This window comes from Homo sapiens, chromosome 3, assembly GCF_000001405.40.
Source record: "Homo sapiens chromosome 3, GRCh38.p14 Primary Assembly".
In the NCBI taxonomy this organism is placed as follows: Eukaryota; Metazoa; Chordata; class Mammalia; order Primates; family Hominidae; genus Homo; species Homo sapiens.
This window is the reverse complement of record NC_000003.12, coordinates 10,734,135-10,754,793: the sequence shown is the minus strand read 5'-3', so window position 1 is coordinate 10,754,793 and position 20,659 is coordinate 10,734,135. Positions and strand designations below refer to the sequence as shown.

Genomic DNA, 20,659 nt, shown 5'->3' with positions numbered 1-20,659 from the left:
ACAATCAGATCTCTCATGAACTACCAGAGCGAGAACTCACTCATCACCAGGAGGATGGTGCTAAACCATTTATGAGACATCCGCCTCCCTGATCCAATCACCTCCCGCCAGGCCCCACTTCCAACTTTAGAGATCACATTTCAACCTGAGATTTGGAGAGAACACACATCCAAATCATATGGAACATTTTAGGGGTAACTTTGTCTAGTTCATTTCACTTCTCTGGGGCTCTAGAACCAAATACACACGCTACTCACAGAATGTGAGCCATTTATTGTTTCTTTTAGTAGCTCTTCCATTGTAGGCTTTCTGGTGTTAAATTTCCTCCCCGAGGTTAGAGACCAGCTTTGGAACCAGAACTTGACCACTGATCATGTGATGTAGTCAGATTTGAGGTTGGAATCTCAGAGGGAAGTCAGTGACAGCCACTTTCCGCCCCAACACTCCAAGATTCTATTTTTTAGCCTCTGCGTCCTTGGATAACACAAGTTCTCAACAGAGTGGAAGGCATCCCTTCCTTTAAAAGTCAGAAGGGGGTTTGAGAAAGGAGACTTCTCCCGACTTGGCCAGATTTGCTGCATGGTGCAGAACACTGAACATCCAGCTGGCTCGGAGCTCTCCAGGGTCCTGACGGGTCCTGGCTTGGGTTCTCTGTGCCCGAGGCTGGCTCCTCCTCCCTGGCCCACCTCTTCCCCTGAAGGTGACTCCTCAGTTGCAGGTTCTGGAGAGCAGAATGCAGGACTGGGGCAACCTTGCCATGTCACCCTGGAAAACATCTATAAACCTATGTTTAATCAGTTTAAACCTAGTTACTCCCTGTCCCCAATGCTTTTATGACTTATTGAACAAATATTTTCCAGCTAGGTCTGGAAGTTTTTGGCTTTTTATTCTTTGATTGCATTTGTCCTCCGAGTAACACCTTCTCCTCTTCTCCTCTTCTCCTTCTCTTCTCCCTCTTGCCTCTCTCTCTCTCTCTTTTTAACCTTTTTCTTCTCTTCTCAGATTGAGTGTCTCCTTCTTCCAGGGGTAGAAAGAAACACGTTCTAATTATCTTCTGCAAAAATGATTCTCATAGACCTCACTGTATTCACATTCTGAATTTGAACTTGAATAATCCTGAAGTTCTCCATTCTAGAAAAACCTTATTTCTCCATAAGCTGCCATGTTGTTAGAAAACTGTCTTGCCCTTTGGGGATGAAAGCTTGACTGAAATGGATTGGCCCCATTTCCTACAATTGACCCCATAGCCCACCTTAGGCAAAGTGGAGGATCTTGGGTGCAACATCCACTCATTCAACAAACACGCACGGAGGCTCTTCTATGTGCCGGGCACTGCTCTCCACACAAGAAATGCAGCTGTGAACAAGACAGACACAAATCCCCACCCTTGGGGAGCAGCCACGCTCATGCAGGAGATGGGAGTGTATGCTGTGATACAGAGGGAAGCCTTCCCACTGTGGGATGAAGTAGAGAAATTGTTTATCTAAGAAATGAATGAGAGAGAGCTCTAGAAAAAGCACACATCCTTCCTCAGAACCCAAGAATAAAATATTCCCAAACATCTAAACTGATCTCAAAGTGTGCCGGTGTTGGCTGCAGTTTTGGATTTATTTCCATCCTGATGGGTGGGACCAAGGCTGGGAGCCTCCTCATTGGAGGAAGTCAGGGGAAGTGACAGGCCACAGGAGAAAACAAGGGGGAAAGGTTCCCTCCTCTGAAATCTTTTACTTGTTCCAGATGTCAGAGCACTGGGGAGAGAGGAGGAAGCGCAAAGAGGGAGAATGTTTGTGGCCAGTGGAGCTTTCAAGGGGTGAACTTTAAGCCTAATCACAGCTTTGCCTGAAGGGGCACCAGCTCTTCCTCTCCAATTCACAATCTGCCCAAAGCCTCCGACTGCTTATGTGTCTAAAAAGGGTTTCAGAGATTTCCTCATGCTCACACTCAAGGCTCTCCCCTGAGCACTCTCCCAGGCCCTGCGTGTGCAGCTGTGAAATGGTGCAAGCCTCTGGGAGGGCCGTCAGCCAATAGAGGTTGAGACCCACATATTTTAAACCAGAAATCCCAGTTCTGGGCATTTATCCTGAAATAATTTAAAATAGAAAACCTGCTTTTATGGAGAGGGGGAAGCACATTAGAACTGTAAAAGACCAGAAATAATATAAATGCCAAATAGTAGGGTTAAGTGAGTTGTGGCATATTAATTTTGTGGAATATTAAGTTTATCATTAAAATAATAAGCATAATGCCCAGTGGATTATAAATGTCAGAAATCCCAGAAATCAGCTGCTTCTCTTAGAAATGAGGAAACTGACTTCCAGGGAGGAGAAGTGACTTATCTGAGATTCTGAGCAAGCCAGGAACTAGTCAAGAACTGACTGGGCAAGAACTGGCCCTGAAGGCTGCCTTGAAGTCTAGTTCTTCCCAACATTACAAGACCTTCCAAAGGTGGCAGCTCACGCATCACTTGTTTTGGGGGAACACAAGTGGGATATCAAGTGCCATGAATTCAGGGGCATTCAGTGCCTTGGAAGGACCTTGTGTGAATGGAAGTGCATTGCCAAGGTCTTTCGGTCCCGATGGCTCCCGTGGGAGGGTCTCAGCGGTCTGGAGCTCCCGGGTCCTCAAGGCACTCAGACACTCACTGAGCTGACTGATCTTCACAAAGAGCCACAGGCATGGGGAGGTTCAGACCAGAGCCTTCAGCAGGTAACAGCCAGTCTCCATCTAGCATTTAATCACATTGTTTTTGTTTTATTTTTATAGTTACACTCAAATTTTGGCTAGTCACACGGATTTCCCACTTCTGGTAGTATTATAAGTTTTAAAGTTAAAAAATAAGTTTATCTGGCTGGGCTCCATGGCTCATGCCTGTAATCTCAGCACTTTGGGAGGATCATTTGAGCCCAGGAGTTCAAGAACAGCCTGGGCAACATGGCAGAACCCCATCTCTACAAAAAAAAAAAAAATTAGCCAGGAGTGGTGGTACACACCTGCAGTCCCAGCTACTCGGGAGCAGGAGGATTGCTTGAGCCCAGGAGATCGAGGCTCCAGTGAGCTGTGATTGCACCACCGCACTCCAGCCTGGGCAACAGAGTGAGACCCTGTCAATAATAATAATAATAATAATAATAATAATAATAGTTGTATATAAATAAAAAAGTGAGTTATTTTAAAGAAAGAATACTGAGTTGAAGAGTGTAAAGAGGGTGGCAGGGGTGGCAAAAGTTGGGAAGTGGAACCAGAATGAAGGAAATTCCAAAATTCCAAAATACTGCCTTGAGCCACCTTGCATCTAGAACTAACATCACCATGTACAGGGAACGATTAGGCGAGGGAGAGGACCTCAAAATTTATGTGCGAGTTAACGGCGTTTATGTAAAAAACAAAAAGAGCCATGTGTAGTTATTTTGGACGCTGATGGGATCATATAAGCCTTTTCATTTTTGCACGACTTCATGAGGTTGTGGTAATTCTGCAAAAAGTGATTTGGTGATGAGAGGAAAAACAAAGATGATAAGTTCAATAGGCAAAGAAAGGTTTTTGTTTTGTTTTGTTTGTTTTAAACAATGGAGACTTTGGACATGATGGAAGGATGAGGGGAAGATTTGGTAGCGAGGTGGATATTTATTCATTCATGCATTCATTCAGTTATTCTGTAATATGTGTTTATCATATACCTTGTGCCAGGAACTGCGACAGGTGCTGGACATACAGCAGTGAGCCAAAACAGATGACACCCCTGGTTTCATGGGGTTTGCATTCTAATAGGGCAAAATAAATCAACAAATGTCTTCTATGTCCAGTAGCTGAGCATGTCATGAGAATAAGTCCAGAGGAGGAGTGGGATGCTATTCTTTGCCAGTGGTCAGAGAAAGCCTGGCTGATGAGGAGTGTTTGAGGAAGTCCCGAATGAATGGAGAGAGTGAGCCATGGGAGATCTGGAGGAAGAGCACCCCAGGTGGAGGGAGCACTGTGTGCAAAGGCCCTGAGGCAGGCATGCTTGAGAAACAGCCAAGTGTGGTTGGGTTGGGTGAGTGGGGGGGAACAGTAGGGGAAGAATCAGACAAGTAGCAGGTCAGGATCACGTGGGTCCTCATAGGACAGAGTAAGGACTCTGGCTTTTTTCTGAGTGACATGGAGATCCACCAGAGGGTTTGGAACAGACATGTGTTGATATCTGATGCATTCTATGCAGATCCTTGTGTTGAGAAGAGACTCCAGGAGGGCAAGAGAGACCAGTGAGGAGGCAATTGCGATAGTCTTGACTGCGGATCCCAGTGGCTCAAACCAAGGTGGTAGTTGTTGAATACAAACATTAAATAAATAAGAAAGGAGATGGTAATTAACGGAGAATCAAGAGGCTGCAGAAGGCATGAGCGAATGAGATCAAGAGGACAGAGGTGAGGAAGAGGGGTGTTAGCCTGAACAGGGAGGTAGAGTGTTATCCCCTGGGGAGGAAGGAAAGGCAGACCACTGAAGAAGAGAGACACAAGGAGGAGGAGGTGAGGGAACATGAGGATGGTGGGGCAGGACTTTGGGCACCCCCAGGAAACAGGACCCAGGGTATCCTATGCATAATGGCAGGGGAGGGGAGATCCATAGGTGGAAGGAGAATGAGCATTTTCTGTCCTCCCTACTACATGGCGAGCTCCACGAGGGTGAGTCCTTGTCTGCTGGGGTCACCTCTGTCTACTAGACCCTAGTGCAGGGCCTGGCTTACAGTGGGCACTCAGTCAATTCTATAATTAGTGAATGGATGACATGAATAAGAGAATGGATGCATAGTTGGATAGGTGGAAAGACGGATGAAAGGAAGAATGGATGGATGGAAGGGAAAGTAGATGGATAGAAGGATGGAAGGTCATAGCCTAGAACAGCAGTCTGTTGCAACTCCTGAGCTGTAATTCAAAGTTTCCCCCACCCAGCTTTACTGACATATAATTGACAATTAACATTGTATATATTTAAGGGGCACAATGTGATGATTCGATATGTGTATATATTGTGAACTAATCACCACAGTCAAGCTAATGTTTGCACATTTCAAGTATACAATCCAGTATTGTTAGCTATAGTCACATTGTTACTGTACATTAGATCTCCAGAACTTATTCATCCTGCATAACTGAAACTTTGTGCCCTTTGACTGACATCTCCCCCCTTTTCCCCTCCCCCTACTGCCATGAACCACTGTTCTAATCTCTGCTCCTATGAGTTTGACTACTTCAGATTCCACATATAAATGAGAGCATGCAGTATTTGTTTTTCTGCCAAGCTAAGTGAGAGAAATCAAAGTTACTTTTAAATGAAGGAATGAGAAAAGAGTGAAAGTGTTGAATAGTGCATTGGGGGATAACAGATTTTTTTGGATAATTGACAGGTCAGAGGTTCCTTGGAGGATCAGAATGAGAGCAGAAGGAGTTGGTATTCTGAAGGGATGTCTTAATTGAGCTTCCCTTCCTGGCAAATGCAGTTCTTGATTCAGTATGGAGTTGAGAAAATTGCACTGTTCTTGGAGTTAGGGAGTCTGGGCTCACATGAAGCAGTTTTTCTTCCTCTGCAGGTCCAGAGGGAAGAGCTTAGTCCCTGGAGAAACAGACTGAAAAGACAGGTTGTCAGGCACCCAGCCAAGCTGAGCTGTACTTCACACTTAGGTAGACTAAATGTTTTCAAAAGAAATGGAGTCATACAGCACACACTCTTTCTCTCCCTTTCAATACCCTCCATCAATTGATAAGCATGGAAACTAAGATCCAAAGAGAGGAAGTGACTTATCAAATTGGAAAGGGCAACAGGGTCATAGAAAGCTGTTTAGAGGTGATGACACTTGGGCTGAGTCTGGGAGGGAGAGTAGGTGTTAACGAATGAAGGAAAGGGTAATCCAGGCAGAGGGAGTAGCATGAATGCAGATGAAAATTTGGGGCTCTTCAAGCTGTTCTAGATACATAGGGATGAGACTTGGAAAAAGGGTGGAGAGGTGAGGTGAACCAAGTCACAGATGACCTGGTATATTGAGCTTAGGAATTTGGACTTGATCCTATAAGCAGTGGGAAGTCCCTGAAGAATTTGGAGCCATTCATACTTTAGGAAGTAAGATATAACAAAAAAGGTAAAATATAAGCCAAGAGCATGGACTCTGGAGCCAGACTGTCTGGGTTGCTCAAATCCTTCCTCTGATGCCCATTAGCTGTGTGATCTTGGGTCAGTTACTTCACCTCTCTGGGTGTCATTTCCCCGTCTGTAAATGATACTGTCTTCATAAAGGTTTTTGTAAAGACAGTAGATGCTACATAAGTGCTAAGAATCATGCCTGGTGCCTACTAAGTACTCCGTGTCCCTGTGCTAGCAGTTGTCATGTTGTTACTGTTGTCATCATCATCATTATTACCATTAGTTCCATTTTTTAAAGATTCTTCTTAGTAGCCAATGTTTTTTAGTGGATGGAAGCAGAGTCAGACTGCAAGTAGGAAGCCCAGGTGTGAGTTACTGCAGTAATTCAGGCAGTAAGCTATGCCCTGTGGGCCAAATCTGGCCCACTGCCTGTTTTTGTAAATAAAGATTTATTAGAACATAGCCACACCCATTCAATTACATACTGGCTACTATCACTTTCACACTACAGCAGCAGTAATTGCAACAGAGAGTGTTATGGCCCTTAAAGCTAAAAGTGTTCACCATCTGGCTCTTTACAGAAAAAGGTTTGCTGACGCCAAAGGTCAGAGGACAGTTCAGCTTTGGGGCAGGAGACACTGGAGACACCGGAGACACCCTTTTGCCTTCTTCCAGCCTTTTTGCCTTTTGCCTTCCTCCAGCCATTTTAGGAAGGGACTGCCTACCCTCTCTAGGTCCACAATCCACCTGGCTCTGCATTTCCCAGTAGAGTGATCCAGGTGGGTAAGATGTTGAGATTCTCCCAGCTCAATTTCCCCTCCGATTAGTTTGTACTGCTTTATTGTTCTTTTTCAAATTAATTCTTGCATCTTCAAATCTATAAAGGAAAACAATATTGAGAGCAGCCTGTGACCTTTCTGGCAGCTTTCAATTTCTTTCCTCTTCATTTTTAGCTTTTATTACCCCCAGGATAGCATCTAATTATTTCTTGAATAATCACGTCTCCTGGGCTCAGAGGAAATTTGAGAAGTTTGCTCCCTATTATGTCTTCCAAATTAGTTTCTCTTCCATTTCGGTGCACTTTCCTTTGTCTTTTCATTCTTGCTTCAGCCAAAAATAGTATCTCAAATTGAGTGCTAAATTCTTCGGGATTTCGTTCACTTCAATTAACTTTCCTCAAGACTCGCTTTCGTTTTCATAAATGAGGTCTTTGGTCCTCAGGATCTTGATCCTAGGCCACTGGGCTGCCTTTTCATGCCAGCCCAGTCTGGAGCCCCCACCAGCTCCCTCTCTTGTGCTAATCCTTTGTATAGGTGTTGGTGGTGGTGTGAGGGCACAGGGAAGGGTAACAGGTGTAGAAAGGGGTAGTGAATCTGGTGATCGGGATTCTGTTACTTGTAAGCTGAAAGACATTGGGCAAGTTGACTTTAGTTTTTCTCATCTATCAAATGGGGGGAGATGCCCATCGACAGAGTAACTCATCAATGAGAGACATCCATGTGCTAATGATGAGGGCTGGGGGCAGGTGGAGAATCAGCCACCCATGATCAAAGCCACTCTTGAATTCTGGAAGTCTGATGCCTGAGATCTCAGCACTAGTTTACTTCACAGGAGTGATTCAGAAAGTAATTGATAATAATGTTTGATGATCGTAATAAGATCACCTGTATAGCAAAATACTTTTCCAGTTTACAGATTGCCTGCACACCCATTATGTTATTTCACAGCCCCCTGAAGCCCTGTGGGTAGGCTAAGCCAAAAACATCAACCCCATTTTACAGATGAGGAAACTGAAACACAGAGAGGTGAAGTGACTTGCCTGAGGTCACACAGCTAACCTGGGGCACAGTCACTTAAAACACCAAATCTCATCTTTTCTCATGGTACATGCTCTCCTTCCTTTGTTAGCTTTTCTACGGTGACCAAGTGGAGAGTGCTGTCTCCTGCATGGTTCTTTTGCTGCATGTGTAATATTCCAGCAGTGCAAAAGCCAGGATAGGCTCAGCCTGAACTAGGAGTCTGGTTACCACTTCAGTGGCATGGGCCCTACCTGACATGCGGGTCCAATGTCCCTCATGTCAGGCCAATGACATCCAATGATGGTCTGAACTGGTGGACATGAGGAGCTGGGTTGCATTCATCTCAGCACTCCCAGCTCCCACGGGGTGCTGGGCACCTCCAGGGGCTCAGTGGACTCCACAGGATGAGTGAGAACATGGGTGAAGTCGAGTGGACGAGGTGTGAGTCTTGGTTCTGCCACTTCCTATCTGGGCGGCCTCAAACAAGCCCCCCAAACCCCTCAGCCTCAGTCTCCTCACCTTTTAAGTGGGGGAAATAATGCCCATCCCACAGGGTGGAGGTAAGGTTCAAATAAAAAACATGAGGGTGACCCTGGAACCTCATCTGTCCTTTTTTGGGCTCAGTAAGCATCAGCGCTCCCCTTTCCTCGTCTCTTCTTTCCACCCTCACTTCCTCTTTCTTGCCCTCCCCTAAAACCTTATTTCCTATAACTCCTTTTTGATCCATTGATTAGGAGTTTTCACAAGAGCAAGTCTTTAAACACAAAGAGTGACTGGGGGTGGGGATAGGACCTTCTGAAGGGAGAGAAAGGGCGAGAGTGGAGGTTTCAGAACACCAGAGTCCTCCACAAATTCGCCTTAGACTGGCCCTGTTGGTGCTGCTGTTTTCTCTCATTTTCTTTCTCCTCTCCAAATATAAAACCATTTAAAAAGCACAACTAAAGAGAAATATGCATAAAGCTGTTTCTTAGTAGACGTTTTCAAACCAATTTTTCTCAAGGAAGTATCTTTTTCTCCAAGATTTGTATTGATAACCCCCAAAAACTTATAAGACCCAGGAAGCCTCTATGGCATCGTGGCTTGGGATCTTGGGCTCTGGGGCCAGGGGACTTGAGTTCAAATCCTGGCTCAGGCTTGTTCTAGCTCTGACCCTGAATCAGTTACTTTACCTCCCTGGACCTCAGATTCCTCATCTGTAAAGTGAGGGAATGGGGGTTCCTAGGTCATAGGGAAGTGTGAAGATTAATTATTATTAATTTTATTTTAATGATTTTATGACAAGTATATCTTGACTGTTAATAACTATTAATATGAATATACATAAATATATATTTAATAGTCATTAATCTATTAATATATTATATTGATATATATTAATATATTGTATTGATATATTCATATATAACATCATATTCTATATGACATATATTAATATATTCATATGTCATATATTAATATATTATACATTTATATATTTATATATTATATATGAATATATGACATATGAATATATTATATATTAATGTATTTTATATGTTTATATATTATATATTAATGTATGACATAAATGAATATATTATATATTAATATATTATATGTTAATGTATGACATGAATATATTATATATGTCATATATATTCATATATAAATATGTTAATATAACATATTAATATATGATCTATGAATGTCATATTTTATCATATTATAATATCATAATATAATATATAAACATATTGATATTATGAATATATTAATTAAACATTAATATATAATATATCGATTAATACATATTAAATTAATTATTAATATATTAATATATTATATTAACGTGTTAATATAATAAAATATCCTTATATTATTATATTGATATATTAATAACTATTACTATAAATATAATCTTACATATTATATTATATATTAATAATAACACATATTATTAATATATTTTATTTCTATATTATATAATAGTATTATATATTTATATAATATAACATATATTACATATAGTGAAAATATACATTATGTACGATAAATATTATATATGTTATATATATTATATGATATGATATTATATATCATATAAATATATAATATAATTTGGAAATAAAATATGTTACATAACATTATGTAATATATAATAATAAAAATATTAAAAGACCAGTTGGGTACAATCCTTCCACCTAGTTGAAAGCCCTCTGAACAGACCTGACTGGTAAGGGGGGCCCAGCAGAATGTTGTTTTCAGGCTGACTTCATTTTATGAGAGCGTCGCCTCCGCCCCTTGCCGCCCCCTCCTCACAATGATCATTTGCAGTGGATGCCTGAGACTTGATATTCCATTGCATTCCCTGCCCTCTGGCCGCTCAGTCATTTTGCTGCTTTAGTTTACTCAGGCCATGACCTTCCGGACCCACAGTGCTTCCCTCCTGGAATTTTAAGTCCTCTTAAACTTGCAAGTTGATGAGGATTGAAGAATCAGGTGTGAAGAATCGGGTGCAAGGCGGTGTTCTTAGGTGAGGAGGGAGCAGCTTGAGTCATCACAGAGCCCTAAAGCCCGCTGTGATTTCCAGAGGCCAGACACAGGTTGGGGAACACCCCCATGGGGCTGGAACCGGCAGCCGCCCTGCCTGGCTGCTGTGGTGGCTCCCGGCAGCACTGGGTGGCAGGCTTGTCCTGCTTTTGAGGACAGTGTCCCCTGCAGTGCATCCTGGAGTGAGCCTGGAGGAAGTTCTGCTGCTTGAGCACCGCAGCTCCTCTTCCCAGGCCCTATGTCCTTCTGGGTGGAGCCACACTTGCTTGGAGTGGAGAAGCCCCAGGTACTCTCTTGCCTGCCTCTTGGAAGCATGCTGGGCCCTGGACCGCGCTGACGGTCAAGATGCCCAGGACTTCTCATTGCCTGTGTGTTGCTCCAGGGTGCTCTGAGCAGAGAGCCAGTTCCCTTCTCTCCCGATCGTTCTGCCACCTCCTCTGTTGCCCCAGCCAGAAGCTTACAGTCCACTAGTGGAGTCCACAACCCCCAGCCCTGGCCCCTGTCTCTATCCCACCTCTTGCACCAGCCCCGTCCAACAAGCCCATCCTGGCAGGGCCGGGCCATGGCAGCTCCAGAAGTCAGTGGCGGGGGAGGGTGGAGGGTTTGAAAAGATTTGGGACCAGCCCACCTTGGCCAGCTCTAGCCTTCAGACAGTCTCCACTCTGGGGACTGCTCTGAGGTCTGCCTAGGGCCCTGCCCAGCCTCAGTCTCCCTCTAGGGGCACTCCCAGGCTCCTTGCAGCAGCCAACCATGTTGCTGCCTGACCCCCAAGCTCTCACCTTCCACCTGTACTCCATCACCATGGGACTGGTCCTTCCCAGGAGCCGCCTCACCTGCAGTGAGCCTGGCCTGTGCTGTCAGCAGGTAACCACTCATCCATAGGCATGCAGTGACACAGACTTGGGTCGCTTGCCCAGGGCCGCCTCACCACTGGGTGACCTTGGGTACATCAGCCTTCTTTCTCAGCTGAGCCATCATCGTGTCCCAAGGAGAACTGAAAAAACCCACCTTGCAGGATGGGTGAGAGGATCAATGCAAAAAGCACCCTGCTAGCTCACATCAACTCCTCCATCAGTGGGAGCATTCATTGTCTCATTCATTCATTCATTCATTCAATATTTATTATTTCCTCTGAGTGCAGCCCTGTGGATACAATGGTAGATGAAGACCAGACCTGGCCCCTGGCTTCATGATCTTGACCTTCTTTTGAGACAGACATAATAAATAGATGCACAGTTAGCACGGAATATAAGGGGAATGACTGGTGCTTTGAAGAAAGAGAGCAGCACATGCAGTGTGGGTAGGAAGCACTGTTTTAGCTGGGGGTCTCTATGAAGGCGATGTTTGAGCAGAGGCCTAAATCAGGCGGGGGACAGCCATGCAGCTGTCTGGGGAGGAGGGCACTGCAGTGCAAAGGCCCTAAGACAGAACTATGCCTGGAGTGCCTGAGGACCAGACAGCAAGGAGGCCAGCATGGCCAAGCAGGTGGAGCAAGGGAGAGAATGGAGAGAGATGGAGTCAGCAGGTTTGACTGGGGCTGCCCTGCAAAGGAGGCTTGGTTTTAGTCCAGGTGTGATGGGAGCCAGTGATTGGAGAGCGGCTGCAAGATGATCGGATTTACATTTTTGAAGGCTTGTATTGATGACTGAGTACCTGCTACTAGCCTGTGCTGGAGTCACCATGGGGGCTGTGGGAGGATGACCTGATTTTAACAGGACTCAGGTCTTTGCCATGTGTGGGCCTAGAATCCGGAACTCACCAAGGCAGGAGGGGAAACCAGCCAAGGTTCCCAAGGGTCCTAGACCCTGAGACTGTCCTGGGAGGCATGGCTGGCCACTTCCCAGCCCCAGAGCTTCCCTGAACCCTGGCCCCAGGCCCCCCAGTCCCCCTGTGGCCCAGGCAGTTGGTGTAGGTTCCCCAACCGCTGGCAGAGCGGTGAGAGAAAGGATGAAGGCTGAAGGCTCCCAGTGCCCACAGCCAACAATCGGGCAGGCTTCCCACATCCAGGCTCCAGTCTCAGGGCAACTCAGTTTTAGTAAGGAGACTGGTGAAGGGGGAGGGAAGAGGAGAGGAAAATGGGAGGAGGAGAGTGAGAAGAAGGAGAGGGAGGAAGAGGAGCAGCGGGAGGAGGAGGAGGAAGGGGAAGAGGAGGGAAACATCACAGCTTCAGCTTTCCTGGAACTAAATTTCAAATTCTATGCACGACTCATCCTTGGGGGAAACTATGTCAGAACCCTTCAGATCCATCAGTTTTAGACGCCTACAAGTTTTAGGAGTTGGAAACCAAGTAGTTTTAGAAAAAAATCTGTCCTAGTTTTGTAATTGGCTCCCAGGGCCCTGCTCAATGATTATTAAAATACTGACATGAAATCTCTGAGAGAAATTGCTCTGGGCCCTCTATTTATCATTTGCGTCGGTGAGACAAGTGGAGGCCTTTCTGTGGTGTGTCAGCTAGGGTACGTTTCAATGTCAGATAATTAACTTTAGTAAGAAAGAGTCAGATTTGCAAAGGGACTAAGGCCGAGACTCTGGTGGCCCTTGCTTAAAGGAAACTTGCTGAACAGAACTCAGGGCCTCAGGATGTCGTGGATCTGACTTACATTGTTTGTTTGAACAGTGGTTCTGAAGGTGAGGTCCACAGATCCTTCCCTATTCCCAAAGCACATGGAGAGGCTGCAGGGGATCCATGAACCTCCTGAAACTGCAGACAAAGTTCTATTTGTTTGGGCTGCTGTGTATTTTTTCCAGGCCAGTGGTTCTCTCAGTGTGAGGCCAGTGGTCATCTTACCTGGAAGCCTGTTAGAAATGCATATTCTCAGGCCGTACCCTAGACAAGTGGAGTCAGAAACTCTGGGAGTGCAGCCCAGTAACCTGCGTATTAACAAGCTCTCCAGATGATTCTGACACATGCTCAAGTTTGATGCACGTGAAAGCTATGCTCTATGGTAGGAGACAGCCGCTAAGAGTGGGGACCTGGGATCACACTGACCTGCGTTCAAATCTCAGTTTGCCCACTCAGCAGCTGTGTGGGCCTGTGCGAGTTCCTCAACCTGTCTAAGCTTCTGTTCCCCCATCTCTAAATTGGGATAAAACCTTGAAATACGGGGGACTTTTAATATAGCAATGATGACAGACAGCTTCACAGTCTCCATCAAGTGACAGATTGATGATGATGATGATGATGATGATGATGATGATGATGATGATTATGATGATAATGATGACGATGATGTTTTTTGAGGAGGAGAGTGACATGGACAGAAGTGTGGGTTAGAAAGATGCTCTATCAGATGGCTTAGACACCTGGCAGGGTCCCCAGGGACTGGGGTCACAGCTGAGCAGCAGCGGTAGGAAGGGCCATCTTCCTACTACATCAGAAGGCTGTCAGAGATCCAATGGACAAGACCGGCAAATGATTCCGTTCATTCAACAAATATTCACTGAGCACTTCTGATACGTCAGGCACTGTTCTGGATGCTGGGACACAGATGACAGAGTCCCTGCCCTCAGGGAGCTCTCATGCATGCGGGAAATAAATTCAATGAACAGGCAAGCTCATAGATGAATGAGGGTCTCAGAGCACAGCCACCGCTGGACAGGGTAGTGAGGTAGCGAGTGACAGGGGTCAGTAGGGTGGCCAGAGGAGGTGACATTGTGCAGAGAGTTGAATGATGAGGAACAGCCAGCCAGGAGAAGACCCTGGGAAAGAGCATGCAGGCATAGAGGGAACAGCCAGTGCAAAGGCCTGGAGAAGGGAATGGGCTTGGTGTGTTAGTGGGACAGAAAAGGGTGCGGGGGCCTGAAGAGTAGCTCTGAGCGTCTCCAGGGTATTGAAAGTTCTCAGCTTTCTGGGACTCCACTTCATCTGTCAAATGGACTCCTCTGAAGAGCCGTCATGAGGAACTGATGATGTGATGAGTATAACCACGTCTGGCACATAGTGGGCACTAGGAAAATGTACGCCATGGCCCCGCAATGGCCAGTTCAATCTCCTTCATGTCATTGCATGAGGATTCTAGCTATCACAAACAAAACCAGCTTGAGCATTGGAAATAAAAGTCCTGATAGTTTTAGGTCAATATCAGGTGTTAAATAGGAGGCAGTTTTCTGCAAGCAACAGATATTCATTGAGCATCCACTGAGGAAGATGCCCTTGGGGATAGAGAAGTGGAAATATCTCTGACCCCTATTCATGTCCAGGCCCTGCCATGTAGTAGCTTTGTGGTTTGGGGAAGTCCCAGCCCCCTGAGGGCAGCAGTCTCCTCTGAAGGGAGGAGAGGTTTCCAACAATACTTTAGCATTAGAAAGTATTTACGCAGTCAAGCTCTCTAGAACATGCAGTGATGGGTCCAGAGATGACCTTTGACAGAACTGGGGACCTTCTGCAGTGAACAGCAGGGAAGGTAGGGAGCATGGCATGGCAGGTATGGATTATGAGAAGCTGCAGACTCCCTGACTGGAAGATGACTGGTGAGGTTCCCTCCTTAACTTCACTGAGCCTTAGTTTCCTCCACTGTAAAATGGGTATGATCCCAGTATCCAATGTCTATGGGCAGCGGTGGGGATTAGATGGTGTCATGTTGTACAATTCTTAGCACAGTGCCTAGAACAAACTAAGCCCTCACTAAATGTCAGCTTCTATTAATATTCATATCCATATCCATATCCATATCCATATCCTTGTCATCAACGCTATTATCAGCAGGGGAAGCTGTGCCTCAGGGCTGCCTGTGCCTATGCCTGCCTTTGTGGCCAAGTAGGAGGATAGCCCTCTGTCCGCCAGGTCTAGACTGAGCGGAAGCCCTGGAAGAGAGGGTAGTGATGCTCCAGCTGTGAGGACAGAGGGGCAAGGGGCTTTAGAGAACAGGGCAGTGGCAGTGGGAATAAAAAGGAGCTGAATTGTGGTCACCTGCTCCTGGAAGACTTCCTAGATCACTTTGGGTGCTCCCAGAGCCCCTTGCACTTACCTTCAGGAGGCAGAGATCCTGCTGTGGTGTGAGAGCCTGTGCCTCCGTCAGCCTGAGGGCTCCTTGAGGCTAAAGCCTGGCCATGATCTACCTGTGTACTTCCAGGGTCAAACTCGGTACCCGGAACGCAGTGGGTGCATGAATGAACAAACAGATGAATGAATAAAATGAAGAACACATGCCCAAATGAATGGAAGTAGGTGGGCTGGCTGGTCCAAGGAGGAGTAAATTTGGGAATCGGAATCGGGCGGGCAGAAATACTTGTCTCTCCCCTGGAAGATCTGCACTTAACGGCAGTTGCGCCTCTTTCATTGGACACCAGGGGGCGCCATCACTGCAGAGCTGGCACCGGAAGGCTGAAGGGATCGGAAGGCTGAAGGGATCAGAACGCCTCAAGTAACGCCGACCTGATGGTTAGGGCGGAGGGACCCGGTTCTTCCAGGACACAAACCAGCCTCCCCTTAGGCCCAAGTGGTGGATTCCAGAAGGAAGAACTTGCTGACGACGACAATCAGCTTGCAACAGCGGCGGCGAGCTGCGCGTGGCTGCAGGTCTCTAGAGTCCACCCCAGGCCCTTTCCCGACCACCTCTGGGGGCGCTGGCGCTGTCCTCTGTCTGTTGTGCGAGGAGTCCCCAGGAGTTTCACCGGCCTGAGAGGGAAAAGGGGGCCTTCGACCCTCTTCAGAAAGTCCTTTCCTTTCCACGAGTAACACCTTCATCAGGTAACAACGGCGAGAAAACTGCCCAAAAGCACCTTCGGGTTTGTATAATAATTTCAAATTTACAGAAAGCTGCCGCAGTAGTAAAAAGAGCTATTTCCCCCAAGCCATTTTAGCGGGGAAAAAAGTAAGTTACTAACGTGATACTCCACCACCCCCCAAATATTTTGTGGATATTTCTTACAAATGAGGACATTCTCTACCTAACCACAAGCACCAAAATCAGGAAATTTACATCAATGCATTGTAACCACCTAATCCTCAGACTCCAGGCAAGTTTAACCAGCTATCCCGATAATGCCTTTCAGAGCAAGGGATTCGGTCCCGAATCCTGCACGGCATTTAGCTGTCATTTCCCCCTAGCCTCCCTCATTCTGGAACAGCTCCTCAGTCTTCCATAGACTTGCACAACCTTGATGCTTTTGAAGATTTTAGGCTACGTATGTTGCAGGAGGTCCCACAGCTCCAGTTTGGCTGCTGTTTCTTTCTTATTGGGTTCAGGTTGCCTGTTTTCAGTAGGAACATCACAGAAATGATGCTGTGTTCTCATTGCGTCCTAGTGGGTAGCACACAATTTCTCTTTGCCGCATTACTGGTGCAGGAACGTCAATCGCCTTATTAAGGTGGTGTCCGCCATTTTTTCCTTAGTTCTTCTTTTCCCCTTTGTCAGCAATAAGTATTTTCTTGGGGAGGTACCTCGGAATGATGTCATTCATCATCAAAGTTTAGTTGTAGCATTCTTTGGGGATTTTTGCCTGGATGAAGTTGTTACTAACACAGTTGCCAAATGGTGATTTCCTGATTCCATCATTCCTCCTTCTCCTCCTCCTCCTTCTTTTGTTTAGAGTCAGGGTCTCGCTGTGTTGCCCCAGGCTGGAGTGCAGTGGCACAATCATAGCTTACTGCAGCCTCTAACTCCTAGGCAAGTAATCCTCTTGCCTCAGCCTTCCGAAGTAGCTAGGACTACAGGCACATACCACCACAACTGGCTAACTTTTTAAATTTTATTTTTTTGTAGAGAGAGGGTTTCACTTTGTTGCCCAGACTGGTCTTGAACTCCTGTCCTCAAGCAGTCTTCCCACCTCAGCCTCCCAAAGTGCTGGGATAACAGGCATGAGCCACCGTGCCCAGCCTCTGTCATACCTTCTAAATGTATCAGTTGGCAATCTAACTGTAAGGAAAAGATCTCTCCTCTCCCCACTCATCCATCCATCCATTCATTCATTCATTCGTATATGTACTTGGTAAGGATTCGTGGATTCTTGTTTTATTTAATGGGTTATAATCTATTACTGTGACTATTTCTTTTGACATTCAAATTTCCCTGGCTTTGGCCAGTGGGAGCCCCTTCAAGCTGGCCCCTCTGTCACTTTAACATGCCAACGTCCTTCCTTGAACATTTCCTTATTTTCTGGTACGAGATATTCTAGGCTTATTTAGTATTCTTGCACCTGCTTTCGGTGTTTAAAGGAATCATGGGTTTATTATCCTGCAAAGGAGTATTTTGGAAACTCTTTTCCTCTAACCCCCCCAGCCCTAGGAAACCACACTACACAGGAGGTAAGAGATTGGACTTTGTAGTAAGACTGATCTGGGTTCAAATCCCACGTCTTATCAGCAGTGTTTCCTTGGACAAGTCTGAAAGCCTCTCCTCACCTGTAAACCAGGCATTTGTAAAATGCTGCTGCTCCTTTAATATTCCCCCAGCACCACCATGTAGCCAATGGTCTGGGAAATTGCTGGAGGGGATTCCTTGATCTGCCTCAGAGGGTAGGGAAATGAGTGAGTGCCTCTAACTTGATTGAGCTCACCTGTGGTACAACATTACCTGTCTGCATTCCCACCTCATGCCTTCCTACAGGACTCACATTTATTCCCTGTCTTCCAGCTTGTGGAATGGCAGACGTTCATAAGAATGAGATAAATTTGGGTTGGTTCCAAGTCCTTGCTATTGTGAATAGTGCTGCAGTAGTCTGGATTAAGAAAATGTGGCACATATACACCATGGAATACTATGCAGCCATAAAAAAGGATGAGTTCATGTCCTTTGTAGGGACATGGATGAAGCTGGAAACCATCATTCTCAGCAAACTGTCACAAGGACAAAAAAACAAACACCACATGTTCTCACTCATAGGTGGGAATTGAACAATGAGAACACTTGGACACAGGAAGGGGAACATCACACACCGGGGCCTGTTGTGAGGTGGTGGGACGGGGGAGGGATAGCGTTAGGAGATATACCTAATGTAAATGACGAGTTAATGGGTGCAGCACACCAACATGGCACATGTATACATATGTAACAAACCTGCACATTGTGCACATGTACCCTAGAACGTAAAGTTTAAAAAAAAATGAGATAAATTTGGAGTTTTATGAGAGGCACCCCTCACATCTTAGTGCTGCACTGCAATGTGCTGCCCCTCAAGCTCAGCTGAGATAAAATATCTGGCCTGCAGTAAGGCTCAACAATTGATAACCCCTGCTATGCCTCTGCTCTTCAAATGGTCGAGTGAGTTGGGAAATGCTCCATTCCAGAGCATTATTGGAGATTTATCATAATGCAAGTTAGGATAATACAAACCCTACTAGTACAGACTCATAGTTTGCTTCTGGAAGGTGGGGTCTGTGCCTTCCTTATCTCTGAACTCTCCACAGTGCCAGCAGCTCAGAGCTTGTCACATAATAGATAGGCAGCAAATGCTAAACAGACCAACAATAGGCTCACTGAAGGGCTTGGGGTGTAGCCTGTGGAATCCCTGGAGTGGGCTGCAGACTGGAGACAGAGACCCAGGGAGGGTTTCAGGTATGGGGTGATGGAAGCTCTGGCTAAAATTCTCTCCTCCTTTCCCTCTGTTCTTGATGTTCTGCCTTTCAGTCCCATGTCTGTAGCCTCTCAAAGGCATCGCTGCATCTCTAACTGCCCTGCAGTGGTCCCAGCCTCCATCACCCCATAGCTGAAACCCTCCCTGGGTCTCTGTCTCCAGTCTGCAGCCCACTCCAGGCATTCCACAGGCTACACCCCAAGCCCTTCAGTTAACTTATTGTCTATCCACATCCATGCCAGCTCCTTAGTCTGGCATTCAAGACTTACAACTCTCCATCCTGTGGGCTAGTCCCATCCCCAGGTAGAACCCGGAATCCACGTTTAAGCCAGCTTGTACCAAGGAATCCTGCTTCACTGCAGGATATATTAATAAAACCACTCCTGGTTTCTTTAGATTAATATTTGATGGTATACTCTTTTCTATCCTTTCCCTTGAAGCCTCATTTGTATCTTTATATTCAAAGTGGGTTTACTGTAGACAGCATGTAGTTGGGTCTTGCTTTTTTATTGAGTCTGACAACACTTGTCTTTTAACTAGATAATAAGCATCATTTAAATTTAATGTGAATATTGATATAATTTAGTGTGAATCTACCATCTCACCATTTGCTTTCTATTTGTCCTATCTGGTCTTTGTTCATTTTCCCTCTCTTTTTTCTGCCTTTTTGGGAATGTTTTTATGCTTCTTTTTATCTCCCTTGTTTTTATCTCCCTTGTTAGCTTATTATATGCTCAATTTCTTAGTGATTGCTTTAGAGCATACAACTTATAACTTTGAATTTATCACAGTCTATATTCAAGTACGATTCTGAAAATATAATAATTATATTATGGAATATAAGGACCCTACAACAGAATACTTCATTTTACCTTGCTTGGCTTTCGTCCTATCACTGCCATGCATTTTACTTCTACTTGTATATAAACCATGTAATTTATTATTATCATTGCTTTAAATAGTTAATTATATTTTTAAAATAGTTTAAAGTATATTTTTATTACCTCATATGTTGATCATTTCCTGTACTTCTCATTCTGTTGTATATATCCATATTTTCCATGTAATTATAATTTTTCTTCTGCCTAAAGGAATTTCTTCAATATTTTTTAAAGTGTTGGTCTATTTGTGGTGAAGACTTTCAACTTTTATATGCCCGAAAAAGTCTCTATTTCACCTTCATTTTAAAAAACCAGCTTAATTGGGATATAATTTGCATATTATAAAATTCACCCTTTTAAATTGTATAATTCAGTGTACGATTCAACCATCACCACTATCTAAGTTTAGAACATCTTTATCGCCCCCAAAAGAAGTCCTGTACCCATTTGTAGTCACTCCTCATTCCATTCCTCCCCATAGCCTCACACAACCACTAATCTACTTTCTGTCTCCATAGATTTGGCTATTCTTGACATTTCCTATAATTAGAATCATGTGGTGTGTGACCTTTTGCATGTGACTTTTTTCATTTAGCATGTTTTTGAAGCTCAACCATGTTGTAGCTTATATTAGTACTTAATTCCTTTTTAAGGCTGAATGGTATTCTATTGTACAGATGTCTTAGTCCATTTCATGTTTCTATAACAAAATACCTGAGACTGGGTAATTTATAAACAATAGAAGTTTATTTGGCTCATGTTTCTGGAGGCTGGGAAGTCCAGGAGCATGGCACCAGCATCTGGTGAGCACCTTCATGCTGCAGC

At 45.0% G+C, this 20,659-nt stretch overlaps 1 annotated feature.

The window, feature by feature from the left end:
• Window positions 533-733: a silencer, noted in NCBI's record as "peak4540 fragment used in MPRA reporter construct". NCBI's record gives its function as "represses an SCP1 promoter by STARR-seq MPRAs in K562 erythroleukemia cells {active_cell/tissue: K562}" and the evidence as "EXISTENCE:reporter gene assay evidence [ECO:0000049][PMID:32103011]".